The following is a 24,521-nucleotide window of genomic DNA, read 5'->3' on the forward strand; positions in this document are numbered from 1 at the left end:
AAAAAGGAGTACTTTGGTAAAGTATTGGCTGCATCATCTTAAGAAGTCCTGTTAACTGCCCCCTTTCAGGTTGGGGGCAGAATGAAAACCACCCAGGTTATCTTAAGGGGCAGCCATCAAGAAGCAGTTGTTTGGAATTCCCATAACTCCGGCCTGGCTTCTGACAGAACAGTGACATTTAAAAGATGCAGAGGGCCGGGTGCAGTGGCTCACACCTGTAATCTGAGCACTTTGGGAGGCCAAGGCGGGCAGATCACCTGAGGTCAGGAATTTGAGACAAGCCTGGCCAACAGGGTGAAAGCCCTTCTCTACTAAAAAAACAAAAATCAGCTGGATGTGGTGGCAGTGCCTGTAATACCAGCTACTAGGGAGGCTGAGGCAGGAGAATCGCTTGAACCCAGGAGTCGGAGGTTGCAGTGAGCAGAGATCGCGCCATTGCACTTCAGCCTGGGCGAAAAGAGTGAAACTCCATCTCAAAAAAAATATAAAAGATGCAGAGAAACCGGGGGCAGTGGCTCAAGGCTGTAATCCCAGCACTTTGGGAGGCCAAGGCAGGTGGATCACCTGAGGTTAGGAGTTCGAGACCAGCCTGGCTAACATAGTGAAACTCCATCTCTACTAAAAATACAAAAATTAGCCGGACGTGGTGGTGGTGCACACCTGTAGTCCCAGCTACTCAGGAGGCTGAGGCAGGAGAACCGCTTGAACCTGGGAGTCAGAGGTTGCAGTGAGCCTAGATTGCGCCACTGCACTCCAGCCTGGCCCACAGAGCAAGACACCGTCTCAAAAAAAAGATGCAGAGAAGTGCAGGCCAAGTCATTGGGTTTGAAAGAAAATGAAGCCAGCCCTGGCTACTGTTGGCAAAAGACTGACTGAAGAGCTGTGACCCATCAGCACCTATCTAGAGACTTTCCACTTCCCTGTCTAGGGGACATGGCTGCACCTGCCTCTAACTCCTTCCCACTGCCTGCTACTACTCTAGTCCCCTCTCTGTACCAAACTTGTCAAAATCTGTGAGATTCCACCTACAGACCACAGAAGTTGCTTTCCCACAACTGCAATGGGAACAGTTTGATTGATAACAGTCTATCCATTGTCAGCTGTGGTTTCCCCATATTTAAAAACCAAAGACCATTTTTCAGAAATTCTAACATGTGCCATTTTTCATATTCTAACATCTCTGAAATCAGGATGTCTTACAATCAATGTTGTCTTTCACTGGCAGAGCATAAATTAATAGCACATCTTAGTGCAACTTAAATTTGATCAAACACCGTATTTAAAAACAACAGCCTAGGTATTGGCAGGACTTTAGACTGCACCATCACTGCCAAGGAGTGAAGTTTATTACACTGTGCTTTACCAGTTTCTGGTTTTGCCTGATCTGGGCCACCAACAAAGCTATGTCTTAGGCCAGGCCATTAGAGTAGTAACTTAATGCAGTGACACAAAAGCTTCCCCTCCCTGCTAGGCTGAACACTTGGGTCCTCCGCTGATTCTGCAGTGCCGGGTATTGAGCTTCACAACCCTGACATGGAGCACCCATTATCAGCTTTCACAGGACCCGCCATCGGCCCTTCCAGGTTATCTTCATAGCAAACAAATATTTTCTCAATAGACTGGAAAAATACATGTGAAAAAGTACAGGAAAGTCCAGGCATGGTGGCTTACGCCTGTAATCTCAGCACTTTAGGAGGCCAAGGCAGGTGGATTGAGGTCAGGAGTTTAAGACCAGCCTGGCCAACATGGTGAAGCCCCATTTCTACTAAAAATACAAAAAGTTAGCCGGGCGGGGTGGTAGGCGCCTGTAATCCCAGCTACTCAGGAGGCTGAGGCAGGAGACCCTTTGAACCTGGGAGACAGAGGTTGCAGTGAGCAAAGATCGTGCCATTGCACTCCAGCCTGGGCAACAAGACTGAAAATCCATCTCAAACAAAAAAAGAAAGAAAAAGAAAAATTACAGGAAAGAGCAAAAGTCACATCAGGCGAGTAGTATAAATACGGAAACCCCTATGAATAGCAACACAAAACACTTAAGAAGTCTGAAACCAGCCGGGCAGGGTGGCTCACACCTGTAATCCTAGCACTTTGGGAGGCCAAGGCGGGCGGATCACGAGGTCAAGAGATTAAGGCCATCCTGGCCAATATGGCGAAACCTCATCTCTACTAAAAATACAAAAAACTAGCCCGGTGTGGTGGCGTGTGCCTGTAATCCCAGCCGCTCGGGAGGCTGAGGCAGGAGGATCACTTGAACCCGGGAGGCAGAGCTTGCAGTGAGCCAAGATCGCATCACTGCACTCCGGCCTGGTGACAGAATAAGACTCTGTCTCAAAAAAAAAAAAAAAAAATCTGAAACCAAACTCTCAAAGTTTTAGTCATTTATGTGAAAAGGACTTCATTGTTTTCACAAAGGCAGAAGCCACCGAAGCATCCAAAATGCTTTCTAATGTGTGAACTAGATTCATTAAACTGCATAAATCAGCCACAAAGAAACACCCAGAAAGTATCTCCCCATGAGCCTGAGTCCCCAGGAGCTATTTCAATAAAATAGCAAGGACTTTACAAAAAGTCTCCCCAGTTCCAACTTACTGCTCATAGTGGTGAAGACTCCAACAAGGAAATCAGCAACCGGTGCCTGGTCTTGGCTTCTCTGCACAAGTCGCAGACCCTCAAAAAACATGCGAGCGGCTTCGTAAGGCTGGTGCAACCTCAGCAAGGAATAACCAGCTCGGTAGTATCCCTGGAACAGGATAAAAAGCAAAACTGTCATGTACCACATCTCCTTTAACCTGCTGGTGAAAGAAAAAGCAAAATTGGCAACATGGGAAATCCAACTCTAAAAGTCTGACTTCTGGCTGGGCACAGTGGCTCATGCCTGTAATCCTAACATTCCGAGAGATCAAGGCAGGAGGATCGCTTGAGCTCAAGAGTTGGAGGCCAGCCTAGGCAACATAGTGAGACCTTGTCTCTACTAAAAAGAAAATAAAAATTAGCTGGGTATAGTGGCACATACCTTGTAGTCCCAGCTACTCAGGAGGCTGAGGTGAGAGGATTACCTGAGCCCAGGAGATAGAGGCTACAGTGAGTTACAGTCATGCTACTGCACTCCAGCCTGGGCAACAGACTTATATCCTGTCTTACTTCTATGTAAACATGGATTTCTAACCAACACTGGATACAGGGTTTCCACATTATATTCTGTGCCACATTGCTCCTGTCATTTAACTGCCAAGAAAAGAATCACTTTCAAATCCATGACTTACATAGCATCTAACATATGACACAGAGAGAAGGAAGAAGGTCTGCTTTCAATTACGTCTCTGGTTGGTTGGTTTGTTATTGACTGATTGATTGATTGAGACAGGATCTTGCCCTATCACCCAGGCTGGAGTGTAGTGGCATGATCCTGGCTCACTGCTACCCTCTAACTCCTGGGCTCAAACTAACCTCTCATCATAGCCTCCCAAGTAGCTGGGACTACAGGTGTGCACCACCATGCCCAGATAATTTTTCCATTTTTTGTAGAGACGAAGTCTTGCTATATTGCCCAAACTGGTCTTGAACTCCTGGCCTCAAGCATCTTCCTGCCTCGGCCTCCCAAACTGCTGGGATTATGAAGCCGGGGTGCAGTGCAAGTGAGCCACTGCACCTGGCCTTATTTATTAATTCATACTTCAAGTCACAGCTTGGGCCGGAACAAAAGAATGAAAATAATCCTTTGATTAGTGTTCAGGAAAAGAATGAGATTGACATGAAAACAAAGGTGTTTTTCCTGCCCCTTTCAAAGTAAACACAATTTCCACTGGGTACGTAAGAAAACAAATTGTAATGACAAACATTGAGATTTACTGAGTTCTACATTATAAGCAATATTCACGAGAGGCCAAAGAAATATTTGATTTCTATAGAAAGAGGAAAATTACAATGATCAATAGAAGAAAATGGTCTAGTTTTGCCTATATACAAATAATATGACTCTTGAATGGGAATAAAATGATATTGCCTACCCCACGTTGATCACCTGAATCAGCATCAGGGATCTACCAAAACAATTTTCTGTCTCAGATAACAGAAAGCCGGGTGTAGTGACTCTAGCCTGTAATTCCAGCACTTTGGGAGGCCAAGGCAGGAGGACTGCTTGAGCCCAGGAGTTCAAGACCAGCCTGGGCAACATAGTGAGACCCTGTCTCTACAAAAAAAAAATTTGTTTTCATTAGCTGGGCATGGTGGTGCAAGCCTGTAGTCCCAGCTATTCCAGAGGCGGAGGGAGGAGGATCACATGAGCCCACGAGGTGAGGCTCCAGCCTGGGTGACAAAGCAAGACCCTGTCTCAAAAAAAAAAAAAAAAAAAAAAAAAGATAACAGGTGTTCACCAACTGGGTTCATAAAAAAGGAAGTACTTTAAAACTCCACGTAACACCAAATTTCTGGCTATTTAATGATTTGTTTTAACTTTCATTTTGAAAGTCTAAAGACCTCAGATAACAATCAAAGAGAGGAGGAAAAAAAAGTGTGTTTCGTTTTTTCTAACTAGGCAAGCTGATAATCTCCCATTTCTTTGCCTTCCTCAGATTCAAGGTTGTTTTTTTTTTTTTTTTTGAGGAAGATGAAGGGGATCAGAATATGCCACCCTAAAATATGCCACTTTGGCATAAGGATTATTTCGAGCTGAAGGTATCTGAGATTCAACAGATGCAAAAAGAAGCCTCCCCTGAGCTTCACTTAACTGATTAAAAAGCAGAAACTCTGAAGAAATGAGGACTGCCATAAATCTTCTCTCCCAGGGAAGTTTTATGGCCATGAAGAAGAGAGAAATTGAGCACCAAGACTGGCCTGAACAAACCTTGCTAAGATAGCCCCTTATCTTCCACTACGTTCCCACATATATACACCTTCCCACAGTTTGCAGCCCCTAGAGACCTAAAACTCTTTTCCTTTATCTTGTCGCATCCCCACAATTTATTATTCTTTATTAAAAATATCATAGAAGATCTCAGGCCTGTCCACATTTTTTGGAGCTTTACCTCTCTTCTAGAAAGATTCCTTTGACACATAAAAGTGAACATCAAATGAAATCTGTGTGCTTTTCTCTCGTTAATCTGTCTCTTGTCAATCTGATTTGCAAGGCCTCAGCCACTGAACCAAAAGAAGGTAGAGGGAAAATTTTTTGCCTTGCCTGTAGAGGACAATTGCGGTGGGGAAGGGGAGAGAGGATGGAGAGAGACTCCCAGGAGTTCTGGGTAAGAACTAGGAAGTGGCCCTGGTTGCTGTGCTGTCAGGGGCTGCTGCAGGTTTGGCCAATCAAGGAAGAAGCCCCTTGATGTAAGAGCATCAAGTCCCTTGGGCCACAGTCACAGCCTCCACTTCCGGGATTTGGGCAAAACCCAAATATTAATACTGTCCCAGCGAGAGGATTGGGAATATCCTAAAATACCTTTGGGAAGAAATTTCCCAGGAATGCACTCCCATTTTCAAAACTAGTCAATAAATTCTAAAGCAGAGGTATCCAATCTTTTGGCTTCCCTGGGCCATATTGGAAGAAGAATTGTCTTGGGCTACTTATAAGATCCACTGACACTAACAATAGCTGATAAGCTTTAAAAAAATAACCGCAAAAAAAAATCTCAATGTTTTAAGAAAGTTTATGAATTTGTGTTGGGCCACATTCAAAGCTGTCCTGGGCCAGGGGTTGGACGAGCTTGTTCTAAAATATTCATCTTCCAATAAGAAGTTTAAGAGTCAGTGTCTACTTATTATGTAAAATATCCAAATCCCTCTCTTAAAGTTAAAGTACTCTATAGGTCAAACCTCCACCACTCCCTTTCCATTGTATTTTGTTTCTAGCAGTCACACATTATGTGTTGCTTCAGATGCTCCAGAGTGGCTATTGAATTTAAGGCCTCTGAATGTAGTGCTCTTTTTCTCCCCAGATTGAATGCAAACTACTCAAGAGCTGGGATGAGTCTTCTGCTCCTTTTGTCTGCCTTGAGGCACCAAGAACAGTAAAGGTGCCATGAAGAGTGGCACTCAGGGCATTTCTGATGAAAAAACAATCAAATGATGTTTATTGACCTTTGTTAACAATCTTAAAGGGTCTTAGTGGCCTCTCAAACTCCATGATCTCTCTGAAGAGCTGGTTTCTACTATAAGAAATGCCTTCTGAAAAATTGGTTTTGTGTCACCCACCCAGCTTGCATTTGAAGTAAAGCTTTGCTCAGATGAAACTTGCGAACGGCAAAGAACATGCACAGATTATGAGTTTGGGTGTAACTATATCAGAACAAAACAAGTTCCTCTGTGATCTCCATTGTGCTCCATCCACTAGGAGGCCAAGCTCTGCTGTTCCTACAAAGTGCATTTCAACACTAGGCGATCCTTGTTTTTACTCTTCTCCAGATAATGATCACATGCCCCATGGGCATCTGTCTGAAGATGCAAAGAGATCTAGAAGAACTCCTAGCATTTCCACTTTTAAAAGGAATGGAAAGAGGCAGGCTAAAAGGAAGGAGGCAGCAGCTGCCACCCCCAGGTGCCACTGCCCCACACTTTCTCTCATCCTTTCATACCTTCATCCACCACCCCAATACTCTCAAGTCATCTCCCCACACCTTCACCCTCCCACCCCATACCTTCACGTAGGTTGGATCCCATTGGAGACATTCCTTGGCAGCAACAAATGCCTCATTCCACTTCCCAAGGCTGAAAAATGCATTTGATTTGTTGCACAGCAGCACAGCCAAGTCCCTCGGGGGAACCCTGTAAGAACAAACCGGTGGTCTGTCATGGTTCTGCAAATACAGAAAACAGTCTGTGAAGTCCCCCCATTCGGTGCTGGCTGCTGCCATCAGGAAGGGGGTTTCAGTAGGAAATGACTCATTCATGCTTATCAGATCAGTCTCCCAGACCCCAAACGAGCCTGGAACATTTACAATATATAAATCTGTCCTTCCTCACTCCCAAATACTCTGCTCCCGTCTTTTAATGACAATTGTTCTCAACAGGTTGGTTCCATCTCTCACTGATCTCCACGCATAATCATTTCATCTCCATTGCCAGCCCTCAGAAGAATCGGCTTCAGGTAAGAGGCCTGTGCAGGCCCTGGGAGCAGGGCCTATAAGGCAGGGAATTCCATAGTCTTGGTACCCACAGTGTAGACCAAAGGGGATGCAAGAACTCTGGGTGAGTACGGCCCTGGCCCCACAGACTCCTGCCTGTGAGGAGGGGCACAGCTGGAAGATGGCCAAAGGAGGGCCCTTTAAAGCGCAGCAGGGCAGGGATGGCTCTGGCCTTGGTCTAGAGGTAATATAGCTGCAAGTTAATGCTGAAACCAGGCCAGAAGAAAAAGGAAAATTCAAAGCAAACCACAATATGTCAAGAGAAGCCCAGCTACCAATGGAATATAAGACACACAAATAAAAAAAGCAAGCCTTATGACTTCTTTTTTATTTAATATCTTTGAGACAGAGTCTCACTCTGTCGCCCAAGCTGGAATGCAGTGGTGCAATCTCAGCTCACTGCAACCTCCACCTCCTGGGTTCAAGCACTTCTGCCTCAGCCTCCCGAGTAGCTGGGATTACAGGTGCACACCACCACACCCGGCTAATTTTTGTATTTCTAGTAGAGATGGGGTTTCACCATGTTGGCCAGGATGGTCTCGAATTCCTGACCTCGTGATCCGCCTGCCTCAGCTTCCCAAAGTGCTGGGATTACATAATTAAGATATTAAATAGGCCAGGCGCAGTGGCTCATGCCTGTAATCGCAGCACTTCGGGAGGCCGAGGCCGAGGCGAGGAGTTCGAGACCATCCTGGCCAACATGGTGAAACCCCATCTCTACTAAAATACAAAAAAATTATCTGGGTGTGGTGGGGTGCACCTGTAGTCCCAGCTACATGGCAGGCTGAGGCAGGAGAATCGTTTGAACCCAGGAGGAGGAGATTTCAGTGAGCCAAGATCGCACCACTGCACTCCAGCCTGGCAACACAGCAAGACTCCGTCTCAAAAAAAGAAAAAAAAAAATCTTAATCGTAAAAATAATACAAATCACTGTAGAATAATACAAAAATCACTGTAGATAATGCAGACAAGCACAAAAATATTAATAAACAAAGGAAAAATCACCTCCATTACTGTCCCCACCCTCGATGTTTTGTGTCTGGCTTCTTTCATGGCCCAACATTCCCTCTAGGTGAAGGGATGAGGCCCCAGAAGCACACAGGAGGCAGTGGGGTCAGGCAGTGAGGGATCAGCAAGGGAGCAGTGACCGCAAGTGTAAGAGATGCCATGGTGTCCATCCCAGACACTCTGGCCAGTGCAGCCATTCCCAGCTGCAATGTCTGTTGGCTGCAGCTAGAGGTTCTCAGCACCCTGTTCTCCAGAGATTTATCCTCAGCCTAATGAGAGCTACCCTCTCCCCAGGAAGTTACACCCATACTAGGGACTGAACTTCCCCCATCCCCAACTGCCAAAAAAAAAAAAATCCCTGGGTAGGCCGGGCACAGTGGCTCATGCCTGTAATCCCAGCACTTTAGGAGGCCGAGCGGGCGGATCACGAGGTCAGGAGATCGAGACCATCCCGGCTAACACGGTGAAACCCCATCTCTACTAAAAATACAAAAAATTAGCCGGGCGTGGTGGCAGGTGCCTGTAGTCCCAGCTACTCGGGAGGCTGAGGCAGGAGAATGGCGTGAACCCGGGAGGCGGCGGAGCTTGCAGTGAGCCGAGATCGTGCCGTTGCACTCTAGCCTGGGAGACAGAGCAAGACTCTGTCTCAAAAAAAAAAAAAAAAATCCCTGGGTTGAAGCCCTACCCCTCAATGTGACAATATTTGAACATGGAACCATTGGGAGGTAATTATGTTTAGCTGAGGTCATGAGGGTGGAGTCCTCACAATGGAATAAGAAGAGACGCTGGAGAGCTTGCTCTCTCCTCTTTGCACGTAACACAGTGAGAAGGCAACCATCTACAAGCCAGGAAGACAGCCCTCACAGGGGGCAGCTTGATCTTGGACTTCCCAGCCTGTAGAACTTTGAAAAATAAATTTCTGTTGTTTAAGCCACCCAGTCTGTGCTATTTTGTTATGGTAGCGCAAGCAGACTAATATAGCCCACTCCCTAGGATGACTGCCGGGAGCCAGACAGCCTAAAACCAGTGACTGACTGATATGAGAATCAAAAGGTTAACCTCCTTGCCTCAAGATGGAACCAGCTCTGCAGTATGATTCATGCTCCAGAGCTGCCTATGGGATCAGGCAAATCTTGCTTGGTTTAGACACCATCCCTGCTTAGAGCCTTCCTTGTGCCATCCTGCCTCCCTCAGTCCCCTTTCTCCTGCAAGTACGCTGTAAATCACATGCACCTGAGTCTCAGTGTTAGCTAGCTGTGGCAGGAAGGCCAGCAGCAGGTGATGGGCAAGGGGAACAGTGTCAGGAAGGTCCCACAAAAGGCAACATGAGGGTCCAGGCAGAAGTCCCAGTAGGGGTCACACAGTAAGTGGTGGAGCTGAGCTTTGAACACACATAGTGTGGGGTCAGTCTACAACCATAAACACTACACAATACTACCTCTTTCTAAGAAAGCTGAATGTTTGCCTTGATCGAGGATCTCTAGACCCAGCTCTGACACAATTCTGATATGTACCAGGACAAGGCAGAACTGCAGAAACTACAGACACAAGCTAATTACACTCAACTCAACCTCAACTAGAGTGTAGACATCAAGGAGATGGGAGGGGGAGGTGGAGCCGTGTTTCAGTAATTTAATTTGGTGCCATTTCCTAGCACAAGTTTAGGTTGTGTGCACCCTACAGATGCCAACATCTGCTCGCTCTACTGCAGCTGTTCCAAAAGGATGATCTGGGAACTTCTGGGGACCCTCAAGGCCACTGCAGGTGATCCACAAGGTGAAAATACTTTCACAGTTGTGGTAAGCTGAATAATGGCCCCCAAATACTGTTCTTTTTATGGAAAAAGACAAACTTTTGTGATTAACAAATGATGTAGCAGATGTGATCAATTTAAGGATTTTAGGAATAGGAGATTATCCTGAATTATGATAAAATCACAAGGGTCCCTATGATCGAGAGAGACAGAGGGAGACAGAAGCACAGCTGAGGAGAAGGCAAGGTGATGACAGAAGCAGAGATTGGAATGATAAGCTTTGAAGATAAAGGAAGGAGCCACAAGCCAAAGAATACACACCGCCACTCAAAGCTGAGAAAGGCAAGGAAGTGCCTTCTCCCCCTCAGAGCCTCCACAAAGAACCAGCCCTGCTAACACCTTGATTTTAGCCCCATTAGACTCATTTAGAACTTCTGATCTTCAGAATTGCAAGAGAAAAAATTTGTATTGCTTTAAGCCCTAAATTGGTGGTAACTTGCTACAGCAGCAACAGGAAACTAATACAATAATTAAGACATAATGTGCCTTGTTCATACTCATTCCCTCACACTCACACAGGGAGTTTTCCAGAAGCCATATGACATGTGATATTGCAACAGACTGAATACAGATGTAAGAAGCCAGCTGTCTTCTGTGGAGACAAGACATTAAGAAGGAGATTTACAAAAATGTACAAGTTTTTGTTTTGGAAAATATACTTTAAAAATACAACATGTAATAGATTTACTGATATATTTATTTATTTATTTTTGAGACAGAGTTTCACTCTTGTCACCGAGGCCAGAGTTCAATGGCACGATCTCGGCTCGCTGTAACATCTGCCTCCCACGATCAAGCGATTCTCCTGCCTCAGCCTCCCAAGTAGCTGGGATTACAGGCGTGCGCCACTACGCCCAGCTAATTTTGTATTTTTAGTAGAGATGGGGTTTCACCATGTTGGCCAGGCTGGTCTTGAACTCCTGAAGTCAGGTGATCTGACCGCCTCGGCCTCCCAAAGTGCTGGGATTACAGGTTTGAGCCACTCTACCCAGCAAATTTATTGATTTTTTTTTTTTTTTTTTTTTTTGAGACGGAGTCTGGCTCTGTCGCCCAGGATGGAGTGCAGTGGCGTAATCTCGGCTCACTGCAAGCTCCACCTCCCGGGTTCACGCTATTCTCCTGCCTCACCCTCCGGAGTAGCTGGGACTACAGGTGCCCACCACCACACCCGGCTAATCTGTTGTATTTTTAATAGAGATGGGGTTTCACCCTGTTAGCCAGGATGGTCTCGATCTCCTGACCTCGTGATCTGCCCACCTCGGCCTCCCAAAGTGCTGGGATTACAGGCATGAGCCACCGCACCCGGCCAATATTTTTAAATAAATACATATTTTATTTTTTTATCAGTTTTAAGTTCTACCATACTGTATTGACAGCTACAGCCTACATAAACAGAAGAAGCTCTTTAGGGTCCTCAGCAATGTTTAAGCATGTTGTGATACTACAATGTTTGAGAACAGGTCTGTAAGAAGCTGAAGGGGCAAGGAAAGAGAAAGTGAACCTTAGTGCCCGGCGGGGTGTGCGCTGTGGCCACGGAGTAAATGGCATAGATAATAAAGAAGATGAAATGAATGACAACGAAGAGGTTTGTTCGAAGACTTCAGCCATCCCATTAAATCTGACCCCTAGCCAGCCAGAACGGGAAGTTTTGTTATGTTTATCAACAGTCCTCTATGTTTCACTTTCTATTTCCCTTCTTACACAATCCCTGTTCACTTCTAAGCTGACAATGCAGAGAAGATAAATAGGAAGTGAGCAATAAAGAAAACAGAAACAGGGTGGAATGATAAGAAATGAAAAGAAATCATAAGGAACAGAGTCCCATGTACTGAAAAAGAAAAGATGAGGTGAAAATGCAAACACTTACCCCCACTGGTATAACTGCAGGAGAATCTGGATGGCTTCATCGTACTTTCTGATGGCCAAAGAGAAGTTCCCATTCTTAAGAACCTGGTTGCCGGATTCTTTCAGCAGCTCAGCGTAAGCTGTCAGGTCCATCCTGTGAGGAGACGGGGGAGACGCTTGCTGCCAGACCCGTGCAGGGCATGTTCACCTTCCGGTCTGCATTGCTGAAATCTGGAGAAGGAGTTCGCTCACTATGGCCCCACCCACCTTCAAAGGGCACATCTTGGCAACACCTCTCACCACCAGGAAACCAGGCAGAGTGTCTGACAAGACTATTTCTTTGTCAGTTCTTTTCTGTTCTCAAGGGTGGCCAGACCAATTCCATTTATTCAGCATTAATGATCTGGAGGAGGCTGCTTCCATGCATGAGACAACATAAACCTGGCAGGTAGTGAGTGCTATCCCTGTAACTGGCATTATTATTAATCTCATTTACCCATCATCACAGCCCACAGGAAGGCATTGTCCCCACTGTTCAGATGAGGAAACTGAGGCTCAGAGGTTCAAGTCACTTGCCTAAAAATCTGCTGATGGCATTTCCCATTTCTGACCCCAGATCTGACCAATTTCTAGTTTCTGCTCTTGACCACTGTACCACATCACGTATTGGTAAAAACTCAGCTGATAGTACTTCCACTCTCTTAGCAGATGGAACAGGGAGGGCAGGTGAAGGCCTCAGTATGCAAGTGGCTAGGACACAGAGACACAACCACTGTCTCTCCTGTCCCCCTCCTTTCTTAAAACACTATAAAATAAGCCTTGAAATATTTGTCCCTGAGACAGCCATTGCCTGCCTACTTGTCTGTGTCCCCCAAGGGTATTTGCCTCTTTCAGGTCAAACCCCTATTTTGTTAAGTTTTGTAGCCGTATGGCCTTGAACATAAGGGGTACTTAAATATCTGTGGTGTAACAATTGAATGCCAGACCCAGAGAAGACGCACATTACTGATTTTCTCCAGTGTGGCCTGGGTGGTTGGAGAGAACTGCCTGGCAGCCCTGACCACATGGGGGGCCTTGGTAAGTGTGCTGAACAAAGGCAGGAGAGGAGAGCACCCAGGAAGATCTTAAGAAGCAGCTGCCAAGGAGACAGGGAAAAGGTGGGGGTCAGAGAAGAGGTCCTTTAGTATTGCTTCCTCTCAAGATGGCAGAGGGAAAGGCAAATTGGTAGGGTAGGGTAGGTCTTAAATATGTGGACAGTTTCAGGTGTTCACAGATGACATGTACCTATGGGGTCATAAAATTTCTTAGGTGTCTTGATGACCAACACAATTCTTGGAGAGACAGTAATTATTAATTTTATCATTTTAAATCCAAGTAAGGGGTCAGAGGGGGAAACAGACCCAAGCACACATAAGTGGTGATTTATTTTAAACAATTTGACTTCTTGGGAATGGGGTTTTTGAACTGTACTCCACTTCTTAAGCAGAGCTTTAACAGAATGAGACACATGACTCTTAAGTCAGAATACTGAACTCTACCTATGCTTTTCATGTAGTAATCTCTAAATTATATGACTACTATTTACACAGAGATGACTAAGAAGAACATGAAAAAATGTAAAGAGCTATGTACTAGGGAATAAAGTATGCTTTTCTTTCAAATATTGTCGGCCATTTGTCCAATAAATATTCTTTAAGCTGGCCATGGTCAAACAACTGAAACAAGAAAATTGTTGCAATAACTGACAAAGAGTTCATATCCCTCCGTTATAAATAGCTTTCCACTGCAAGAAAAGACCAACATTCTCACCAAAATGTATAAGGGTCCTAAGAAACAATTCACAAAGAAACACCAAGTAATTGCTACTAAATATATGAAAAGTGGGTAAATAGGATCACCCTCACTAGTGCATAAGTAAATCAAAAATTGAACAACAAAATATCATTGGAAAATAATTAAAAGAATGACACGAAATGTTGGGGACACTGCTTACAGAGGAAATAGAATACATCATAAATAGGTTTAGCCTCATGGATGTTCACCACCTCGAAAACTTGGAAATAACTCTAAATGTTCCATAATATATAATGGGTTTAAATCAGTTATAGAAGATCCGTATGTTAGAACAACACACAGTTATTTTTAAAATCATGTTGTGGCTGGGCACAGTGGCTCACACCTGTAATCCCAGCACTTTGGGAGGCTGAGGCGGGCAGACCACCTGAGGTCAGGAGTTCGAGTCCAGCCTGGCCAACATGATGAAACGCCATGTCTTCTAAAAATACAAAAATCAGACAGGTGCGGTGGCACGCACCTGTAATCCCAGCTACTCGGGAGGCTGAGGCAGGAGAATCGCTTGAACCCAGGAGGGAGAGGTTGCAGTGAGCCAAGATCACACCACTACACTCCAGCCTGGGTGACAGAGTGAGACTCTATCTCCAAAAAATAAAATAAAATAAAATAAAATCATGTTGCAAAAGACCCAGTGCGCTGGCTCATGCCTGTAATCCCAGCACTTTAGGAGGCTGATCAGCTGAGGCGGGCGGATCACCTGAGGCCAGGAGTTCGAGACCAGCCCGGCCAACATGGTGAAACCCCGTCTTTACTAAAACTGCAGAAATTAGCCAGGCATAGTGGTGAGCACCTGTAATCGCAGCTTCTTGGGAGACTGAGGCAGGAGAATTGCTTGAACCCGGAAGGCAGAGGTTGCAGTGAGCCAAGATCACGCCACTGCACTCCAGCCTGGGTGACAAGCGCTAACTCCATCTGGAAAAAAAAAAATCGTGTTGTAAAAGAACATTTAATGACAGAGCAAGTTAGTAAATGAAAAATACAGGCCTATACGGTTGAAAAGGCATATTGTAAAAGAACATTTAATGACAGAGCAAGTTAGTAAATGAAAAATATAGGCCTATAAGGTTGAAAAGGCATATAATCCCAAATTGTTTTAAATACATAAAATGTATTGAAAATATGCCAAAATGTTAAAAGCCACGCCTTTGGGATTTGACAGAATTTTAATTTTCTTCCTTGATTTTCTGAATTTCCAATCACTCTACGATGTACCCTCTTACTAATCAGACCATAAATGTTATCAAACAGACTCTTTAAGGGTTTAACTGAAGAATTCAAACACAAGGTATTTCCATTGTATTTACAAATACAAAAAAAAAACTCTTCATTTCAATATTATTTTTCATAGTTCTCTAGAAACCAAGTCAGCTCTTAATGTTATGTGAGCAACAACAAATGTATTCACCCACCTATGTTTCTGCTTTTTATTGATACAATCACATCAAAGGTGAAAGAAGGAATGCCAACCATACAGAAGGCTTTTTTCTTCCTAATAGGATTCATTGAGAGTTACATTCTCATTACACGGAAGAATGCTTTATATCTCTACAATAGAATACAGATGGCTCCGTTGTTGGGTCTTTAAAAAAAAGAAAAAACTGACCAACTGATGATTTATTTATAAGATGAAATTATTAAATAAAAGTGGTAATAATTTACCATAATGACAATATTCTTCATAGCTAATATCTGCTAAGTACCTACTATGTGCTTTACATCATTGTGTCTTTTCATTCTTATAAGAAGCCTCGGCCAGGCACAGTGGCTCACGCCTGTAAACCCAACATTTTGGGAGGCCGAAGCAGGCAGATTAGCTGAGGTCAGGAGTTCGAGACCAGCCTGGCCAACATGGTGAAACCCCCATCTCTACTAAAAATATACAAAAATTAGCCAGGCATGGTAGTGCATGCCTATAGCCCCAGCTACTCAGGAAGCTGAGGCACGAGAATCACTTAAGCCCAGGAGATGCAGGTTGTAGTGAGCTGAGATCAAGCCACTGCATTCCAGCCTGGGCAACAGAGTGAGACTCTGTCAAAAAAAAAAAAAAGTGCTATAAGGTCAGCGTGACTCTATCTCTATTTTGCACATAAGGAAAGTGAAGCAAAGACAGGTTAAGCCACTTACCACTTGCCACAGTCACACTGAAATTGGTAATGTGAGAATTCCAACCTAGGTGGCCTCACTTTAAGAGCCAAACTACACTCTGAAGGGCCAAGACAGAGGCTAAAAGATCAGCACCCAGTAAAATCACTAGGGTATCTTATATTTTGGCTGGCACTGAGCACTCTACCCTGCACTTTCAGTTTCGTTAATGGTGTAAAAGCTACAAAATACTTAAGGACAATTGCACAGCTGCCTGGCTGGCTTTCAGAAATTTTCACTATGTCTCTATGAGAATTCAAACTCTAGTTGTTGGAAGCTGTCACAGGCTGCTGAGCTACATATGAGGAAGAAGATGCAAGAAAAATGCAAATGCACTGAGTAGATTTTGAAACAAGCAAGTCTGAAACAGAGCAGATCCAGGTGGTTGTGGGTTTTATGACTCATTGTGTATACGTATACACATGAAGTTCTGTAACTGACATACAGGATTACAGCAAAGACTGGCAACACAGATGGCCTATGGAGGGGTTATTACTGAAATGGGCAGAGAGGATGGCTTTCCCTTCATACATTATCTGGGTACTGCTTGAATTCTTGACAACAAATTTGTTTACTTTTTTATTTTATTTTTTTGGGGTTTTTTGTTTGCTTGCTTGCTTTTTTTGTTTAGGGTTGCCAAAAGAGCCCAAAAGCAGTCAATGATCCAAGATTAACTCGGGAATGCTGGCAGTAGCAGTAGATCCAAGTTGAAGCTAGAAAGAGTATGTCTCTTTTGTGTGTGTGTGTGTGTGTGTGTGTGTGTGTGATGGAGTCTCACTCTGTCACCCAGGCTGGAGTGCAGTGGCGCAATCTTGGCTCACTGCAACCTCCATCTCTCGAATTCAAGCCATTCTCCTGCTTCAGCTTCCTGAGTAGCTGGGATTACAGGCGTGCGCCCTGTAATCCCACCATGCCCAGCTAACTTTCTATATTTAGTAGAAATAGGGTTTCCCCATGTTGGCCAGACTGGTCTCGAACTCCTGACCTCAAGTGATCCGGCCGCCTCGTGTCCCAAAGTGCTGGGATTACAGGCTTGAGCCACCATGACCGTCCTTTTCCTTCTATCTTTCTATCTATCTTTCTTTCTTGCCTGTTTGCTTGCTTGCTTGCTTGCTTGCTCACTTACTTTCTTGCTTGCTTTCTTTTTCTTGCTTTGTTTCTCTCCTCTCCTCTCCTCTCCTCTCCTCTCTTTCTTTCTCTCCTCTCCTCTCCTCTCTTTCTTTCTCTCTCTCTTAAAAGTGACTCTTTCCTCTTCCCCGCAGGAAGGGTGCCACAGACAGTCAAGGATAAAAATCCAAAGTCAGAATATATCCTGGGGACTTCAATGTGTTTTGTTTTGTTTTTTTCTTTTTTTCTTGGGGAAAGGGGTACAAATGTGGGACAAGAAGAACAGGAATTTTCTTAAGAAACTCACTCAAAATATTTCATAAGGCCCCTGGAAAAGTATGTGGTGCTGCACCCAAGTCTTCCCTACCCAGGGCATTTAAATAGGACAAGACCGGAACACCTTGCCACCACCCCCCTCAGCTGTCTCACCATCCTGCCCCCGACCAAAGCCCAGTAAAGTGGCCTGCACTAAACCTAAGGCATTACCAGTGCAACTTATCCCCTTCGCCCATCAACTTTAAGTTATTCCTCATTTATTTACAGCCTCAATTACACCCAACTACATGCACACCAAAGATGGTATTTCTAAAGCCAGTTGACGAGACCAGCTCCGAACTGTTTTTGTAAAATTTATAACCTAAAAGTCATTCTCACAGCAAAAAGTAAACACCATAAATAATTATCTACCTCCCCAATATCTAGGGTCTCTTGACTGTTTTTGGGTTTGTTTTGTTTTTGTTTTTTTTTTGAGACTGAGTCTCACTCTGTCGCCCAGGCTGGAGTGCGGTGGTGCAATTTTGGCTCACTGCAAACTCCATCTCCCGGGTTCAAGCTATTCTCCTGCCTCAGCCTCCTAAGTAGCTGGGATTACAGGCGCACGCCACCATGCCAGGCTAATTTTTGTATTTTTAGTAGAGACAGGGTTTTCACCATGTTGGCCAGGCTGGTCTTGAACTCCTGAGCTCAAGTGAGCGCTCAGGTGATCCCTCGGTCTTCCAAAGTGCTGGGATTACAGACATGAGCCACTGCACCCAGCTGGTGTCTTCCTTTTTTTTTTTTTTTTAAGTAAATTTTATTGAGGTACAATTTACATATGATAAAATTCACCCATTTTAAGTGTTCAATTCATTTAACAAAATTTATGATCATGCAACCACAACCACAGTCATGATACAGAACACCCCCAATCCCCCATCCCCAGCTCCTGGGAACATTTTTCTAGATTATTTATTTATTTATTTATTTATTTCGAGAAGGAGTTTTCACTCTTGTCACCCAGGCTGGAGTGCAATGGCGCGATCTCGGCTCACTGCAACCTCTGCCTCGTGGATTCAAGCCATTCTCTTCCCTTAGCTTCCCTAGTAGCTGCTATTACAGGTGCCCACCACCATGCCCAGCTAATTTTTGTATTTTTAGTAGAGACGGGGTTTCACCATGTTGGCCAGGCTTGTCTCCAACTCCTGACTTCAGGTGATCCACCTGCCTCAGCCTCCCAAAATGCTGGGATTACAGGCGTGAGCCACCACACCAGGCCTATTTTATTTCTTTTTTGTTTTTTGTTTTTTGAGAAAGAGTCTCATCTCTGTCACCCAGGCTGGAGTGCAGTGGCCCGATCTCCACTCACTGCAAGCTCCGCCTCCCGGGTTCACGCCATTCTCCTGCCTCAGCCTCTTGAGGAGCTGGGACTACAGGCGCCGGCCACCACGCCCGGCTAATTTTTTGTATTTTTAGTAGAGATGGGGTTTCACTGTGTTAGCCAGGATGGTCTAAATCTCCTGACCTCGTGATCCACCCGCCTTGGCCTCCCAAAGTGCTGGGATTACAGGTGTGAGCCACCGCGCCAGGCCTACCTATTTTATTTCTTAAATTGACATATTGATAATGTACATATTCATAGTGATGTTTTGATGCATATAATGTATAAGTGATCAGATCAGGGTATGTAGCATATCCATCATCTCAAACATTTATTATTTCTTTGTGTTGGGAATGTTCAATATCCTCCTTCTAGCTATTTGAACTATATGTTATTGTTAACTACAGTCATCCTACAGTGATAAAGAACTGTTTTTAATTTTCACACACCCAACACACATGTGCCTTCCCACTGGATCTGAACTTTCAGCACACCCTAATCCTATTATTCATATAGCATCTACCCTATGCTGGGCACTGTGCTGGGGATCAGGAGTCTGATGGTGAAAGGATGGCCACTATCCCCACCTTCCAGAAGTTTACTGTCTGTTAGGGAGATGAACATTAAGTACATCAATAATCACACAAATATTATAGTTAAAATATTTTTCTTCTTATGAAGAAAAAGTAGAGGGTATAAGAAAGGCTGTAACAGGAGATCACAGCTTAGATTGCAGGGATCAAGGCAAGTCTGTTGGAATTGACATTTAAGACAAGATCTAAATAGTGAGCGGTTAGCCCAGTGACGAGGACAGTAGGTGTCCAGGCCACAGAAACAGCACATGCAAAAGCTCTGAGCTTCACAGTTCAAGAACTGTCAGGTGAGTAGGATGCAAAAGTGAAGCTGAAAGAGTAGGTAATTGCTGCAGTAAGTAGATGATGGATCTTGAAGGCCATCAGAGGGTCTTGGAATTCATCTAAATGCAACTGGGAAAGCAGCATTGTCTATGACAACTTTCTGTGATAATGCAAATGTTCAATTTTATACTATACAATACAGAAGGCACTAGCCACAACTGGCTACTGTACATTTGAAATATGACTAGTACAAATGAAGAACTGAATTTCAAATCTAACTTAATTTTAATTAACTTTGCAATACATAGCCACATGTGGCTAGTGGCTACCGTATTGAACAGTAAAACACTAGAGGGTTTTAGGTTGCAGATTAACAAGATCCAATTTGGCCTGGCACAGTGGCTCACATCTGTAATCCCAGCACTTTGGGAGGCCAAGGCGGGCAGATCACGAGGTCAGGAGTTCAAGACTAGCCTGACCAACATGGTGAAACTCCGTCTCTCCTAAAAAATACAAATTAGCTGGGCATGGTGGCACATCCCTGTAATCCCAGCTACTCAGGAGGCTGAGGCAGAATTGCTTGAACCTGGAAGGCAGAGGTTGCAGTGAGCCAAGATCGTGCCACTGCACTCCAGCCTGGGTGACAGAGCAAGACTCTGTCTCAAAAAATAAAAAAACCAAGATCCAATTGATACTTCCAGATCATCCTGGCTGAAGGCAAGATGGAGAGAAATAAGCCAATGTAAAATGGATGCAGGAAGAGCAGCCAATAAGAGTTCCTGATGAATTTCATGGGCTTGAGAGTGGAAGGCAAAAGAAATGAACTCCAAGGCTTTTAGCCAAATTTTACTTTGCATTACAGAAACAGGGGCTTTGGTTTCAAATATAAATGTATGGGTTTTTTTTGTTTTTTTTTTTGTTTTTTGTTTTTTTGAAGAGACCGGAGTCTTGCTCTGTCCCCCAGCCTGGAGTGCAGTGGTGCAATCTTGGCTCACTGCAGCTTCCACCTCCCAGGTTCAAGAGATTCTCCTGCCTCAGCCTCCCAGGTAGCTGGGATTACAGATGTACACCACCACGCCTGGCTAATTTTTTAATTTTTAGTAGAGACAGAGTTTCACCATGTTGGCCAGGCTGGTCTCGAACTCCTGACCTCAAATGACCTGTCCACCTCAGCCTCCCAAAGCACTGAGATTACAAATGTGAGCCACCGTGCCCGGCCAAATGCATGTAATATTGGATTTTCTTTTATACAAATACATACACTCACACCCACACACACACACAGCCTACCTCCCTGAGGATAACTATTGCAATACCACTGCATCTAATGGGGCAAAGTATATGCTCTATAAAGCACATAAATTTGGGAAATACACAAAAGCCTCGAATAGATAAACTTAAAACTGTCAAAGATGAACCAAATAGAAATATATTCTATATTTTTTTCATGAAATGGGAAAAAAGAAATATATTCTATAGGACAATATACATTATGAGCTAAATATGGTGTCATCAACCCATTAAAGTGTTTCAGCAACAACAGCAGGGGAAGGAGGAGGCAGGAGACACAGAGAACCATTCGCCCCTCTAAAAGAGAGGTCATCCCCGTACCAGGACCAGGAAAGATCAAGAGGTGAACTTCTTTCTTTCTTTTTGTGTATTTATCTGTTTGTTTAAGGGAGGGCAGGAGATGTTGGAAGTTTGGTGGGAGCAGAGAAGAGAGAGGCGAGTTTAAGATTTTCTCCAAGTACCATTTCTTTCATTACCAAGTATTTAGTAAACTTGGGGCTACCTCTGTATGTATTAATCTGGAGTTGGTTTTCCCTATAGCATGCATTCTCAATGGGGCAATATTGCCCCCAAAGGAAAGAAAATGGGATATTGGGGAGTAAAAATGTTTACTCTTTTCATGCACAAAGCACAGATATACATACAATACAAAAAAAAGGATATACAGTATTATCTGTGGTATTAAAATTTCATAGGGGGTGGGAAGCTAGATTAGCTAAAAGTCTGAAAAGGTTGGGAGGAGCTATAATGAAAAAATGCTTGAGTAACACTACCCTAGAGGAAATTGAGGGATGGAGGAAAGGGTGTTAAATGTAAACAAAAGATCTACTGATGAATATATAAACAAAATTTGGCATATACATACAGTGGAGTACTATTTAGCCTTAGAAAGGAAGGAAATCCTGACACAAGATACAACATGGATGAACCTTCAGGGCATCATGCTAAGTGAAATAAGCCAGTCACCAAAAAACAAGTATTTTACAATTCTACTTATATGAGCTACTTAAAATAGTCAATTTCATAGAAACAGAAAGTAGAACTGTGGTTACCAGGTACTATAAGGAAGGAGAAATGGGAAGTTGTTGTCAAATGAATATGGAGTTTCAGTTTTGCAAATAAAAAAGTTCCAGAAATCGTTTGTACAATATGAATGTGCTTAACACTGCCGAACTATACATTTAAAAAGTGTTAAGATGGCAAACTATGTTTTGTGTTTTTTACCACAGTTAAAATTTGTTTTAAGTAAAGAGAAAATAAAGCAAAAACCCAGAAAGAAAAGAAGAAAGAAAGAAAGAAAGAAAGAAAGAAAGAAAGAAAGAAAGAAAGAAAGAAAGAAAGAAAGAAGGAAGGAAGGAAGGAAGGAAGGAAGGAAGGTAGGAAGGAAGGAAGGAAGGAAGGAAGGAAGGAAGGAAGGAAGGAAAGAAAGAAAGAAAGAAAGAAAGAAAGAAAGAGAAAGAAAGAGAGAGAGAGAAAGAGAGAAAGAAAGAAAAAGAAAGAAACGCCAATGTAAACAAATATGTTCTGGACTTGTATTTCTACTCCAAGTCTGACAGAAACATTACTGATTTTCCTTACGCACACTATGTTACATCATGATACCCAAAAGATGGCAGGATATCAAAGTTTCCTCGGTTTTGTAGTAGTACTGATTTACATGCACATTCAGGAAAGTAAAAGCAGCCAAGATACTAATTACTTACAGAGCCATCCTAAGACCCTGGCCCCGCTGACAAGATGACAGTTAAAATATCCCCCAGCAGGCATCACAGGCAGGTGGGTTTGCAGTATTCAAAGTATAATTTATGTGCCCATAAAAAACTATATTATGCAATAAGGATATGTGGGGTTACAGTCAAATGGTCAAACAACATACAGCAACAATTACTGTGCAATATTAACAAAGACGTACAGTAGAGGTCTGTCATATCCCATTATCTTGATGGGCCCAATTTTTTTTAACATTTTTATTGAGGCAAAACCTAGTATAATGCGTGTAACATGCACTACTCTTCGGTGTTCAGCTATGATTTTTATACCCATCTACCCATCTAACTCCCACCTGGGTGAATATATAGAACATTTCCAGGTCTCCAGAAGGTTCCCTCTTGTCCATTCCTAGTCTAAACCCACCTTCTTCACCACTATTCTGATCTGTAAACTATAAATGAGTTTCACCTGTTCTTGAACCCCATAATAACATAGTGGGTTCCCTCTTTCCTTAAAGATTATCCATGTGAGACTCAACTATATTGTTGTATATATCAGTAACTCCTTTCTCTTATTGCTGTGTAGTGTTTGATTTTATTAATATACCACAATTTACTTATCCATTCTGTTGATGGGCATTTGAATTGTTTCCAGTTTGAGACAACTGTGAATAAAGCTGTTATAAATGATCCTGTATATGTCTTTCAGTGAGTTATTTGTCTGCCTTTCTTCCCAGGAGTGGATCTGCTGAGTGACAGGGAAGATGTGCTATTTACTTTTAGTAGAGACTGCCAGTTTTCCAAGTGGTTGAACCAATTTATACTCCCAAAAGCAGTGTTTTGTGTATATAAACTGCCAACATTTGTCAATTCTGCGCACTATCAGTCTTTTTAATTTTAGCCACTGTGGTATCTTATTGTGGTTTTAATTAGCATTTTCCTGATGACTAATAATGTTGTGTGCCTTTTATTGGCCATATGAGTGTCCTCTTTTGTGAAGCTCCAAATAGAACCAATCCTAGAAGAGTTGTTTGTTTTGTTTTTAATAATTAACCACTAGATGACAATATGCCAGGCCCATTGTAGCTCACGTTCTTGCAATATTGCTAATAGCAGAGGAAAGAATGGACTCTGACCTGCACACTGGACAGCCATCATTCTCCTATGCGGTACACAAACTATAATAAGTTCAGGAAATAAATTCTCTTAAAATGCTTTACCAATAAATGGCTAAGGATATTTCATTAGATTATAGTGACAGCGTGGTGCCAGGAAATATTCTTCTAAAAAACTAAAAACAGGTTAAACTTTTATGTCAGATACTTGAAAGTTGACCCTTAGTAACAGTTAATGATATTTATAATTTAGGAAGTTCTGACACTCTACCCATTTGGCTACAGTGAACCATTCTTGGGACCTTTGAAGTGGCCACTCCTTCCTCACTGAGTCCCAGATTTGTTTCTGTTATGTGCCTCTCTTCCCCAAGCTCCTTAGACTTAAGGGAAGCTGACTCCACCCTTACTTCCTAAGGGTCTGATGAGCAAATTTATCTCCCTGACAGAAACTGGTTCAGTATTGAGTGTAGGGCACAATTCTGGCCCCTGAAACTTAAAAAGATGTTTATTGGAGGATTCCAAGACAGTGTTTTATCATCATTCTGGATAAGCTTCTAGAAGAGAATCTCTCTATTACACAGAGCACTGTCCAGTGTGGAAGTGAAGCTGTGAATCCTGACACTGAGATGTGTAAATGTGTGGCCCTACGTTTCAGCTGCATTTTGCTTCCGGCGTAAGGATGAAATCAACACTCACAGGATGAAACCAACAGTGACAGAAAAGGACAGGGCCCAAGAAAATAAAGGAAAATAGTGGGGAGCCATCAATTTGGGGAGAATCCTGAGGCCTGCCCTATCTCTGGACTTCTACTTATATGGTGCATCAGTTAGGATGACTTTGGCAGCAAACGAGGAGTTGGGGGTTGTGTAATTTTCTTATTGGATACAATGAGTTCTAAATTTCTCTTCAAAGAATCAGTATGTCAGCATGTTCAGTTCTTTGTCCTCCATTTTAAAGTTTAACTTCCTCGTAGTTTCAGTAAACAACCTTTTCCACCAGTTTTAATCAGTAGTTCACATCTGTTCTCCTG

General features: G+C 43.4%; 1 protein-coding gene across 13 annotated transcripts in view, besides 5 other annotated features; it reads right to left on the reverse strand.

The window, feature by feature from the left end:
* Positions 1–24,521, reverse strand: part of TRANK1 (tetratricopeptide repeat and ankyrin repeat containing 1) — a 118,926-nt gene that overhangs the window by 69,701 nt on the left and 24,704 nt on the right. For 9 of the 13 annotated variants that reach the window (XM_017007570.2, XM_047449328.1, NM_001329998.2 and 6 more), the window contains 3 exons: positions 11,804–11,935; positions 6,630–6,756; positions 2,590–2,740 (listed from right to left, as the gene is read on the reverse strand). In XM_017007570.2, coding sequence (XP_016863059.1) covers positions 2,590–2,740; positions 6,630–6,756; positions 11,804–11,935 — 410 coding nt within the window. Of the gene's footprint in view, positions 1–2,589; positions 2,741–6,629; positions 6,757–11,803; positions 12,013–24,521 lie in introns of those variants that run through there. The other 4 variants (XM_047449326.1, XM_047449329.1, NM_014831.3 and 1 more) reach the window with 4 other exon arrangements.
* Positions 11,375–11,424: an enhancer, noted in NCBI's record as "active region_19662". NCBI's record gives its function as "activates an Ori minimal core promoter by ATAC-STARR-seq in GM12878 lymphoblastoid cells {active_cell/tissue: GM12878}" and the evidence as "EXISTENCE:reporter gene assay evidence [ECO:0000049][PMID:35858748]".
* Positions 11,445–11,764: an enhancer, noted in NCBI's record as "active region_19663". NCBI's record gives its function as "activates an Ori minimal core promoter by ATAC-STARR-seq in GM12878 lymphoblastoid cells {active_cell/tissue: GM12878}" and the evidence as "EXISTENCE:reporter gene assay evidence [ECO:0000049][PMID:35858748]".
* Positions 11,775–11,924: an enhancer, noted in NCBI's record as "active region_19664". NCBI's record gives its function as "activates an Ori minimal core promoter by ATAC-STARR-seq in GM12878 lymphoblastoid cells {active_cell/tissue: GM12878}" and the evidence as "EXISTENCE:reporter gene assay evidence [ECO:0000049][PMID:35858748]".
* Positions 14,094–14,262: a silencer, noted in NCBI's record as "fragment chr3:36952104-36952272 (GRCh37/hg19 assembly coordinates)". NCBI's record gives its function as "represses an EF-1alpha promoter that drives an FKBP-Casp9 reporter gene in an ReSE screen in phorbol 12-myristate 13-acetate-treated (for megakaryocytic differentiation) K562 erythroleukemia cells {active_cell/tissue: K562(+PMA)}" and the evidence as "EXISTENCE:reporter gene assay evidence [ECO:0000049][PMID:32094911]".
* Positions 16,008–16,057: an enhancer, noted in NCBI's record as "active region_19665". NCBI's record gives its function as "activates an Ori minimal core promoter by ATAC-STARR-seq in GM12878 lymphoblastoid cells {active_cell/tissue: GM12878}" and the evidence as "EXISTENCE:reporter gene assay evidence [ECO:0000049][PMID:35858748]".

Source organism: Homo sapiens, chromosome 3 (assembly GCF_000001405.40).
Source record: "Homo sapiens chromosome 3, GRCh38.p14 Primary Assembly".
NCBI lineage: Eukaryota > Metazoa > Chordata > Mammalia > Primates > Hominidae > Homo > Homo sapiens.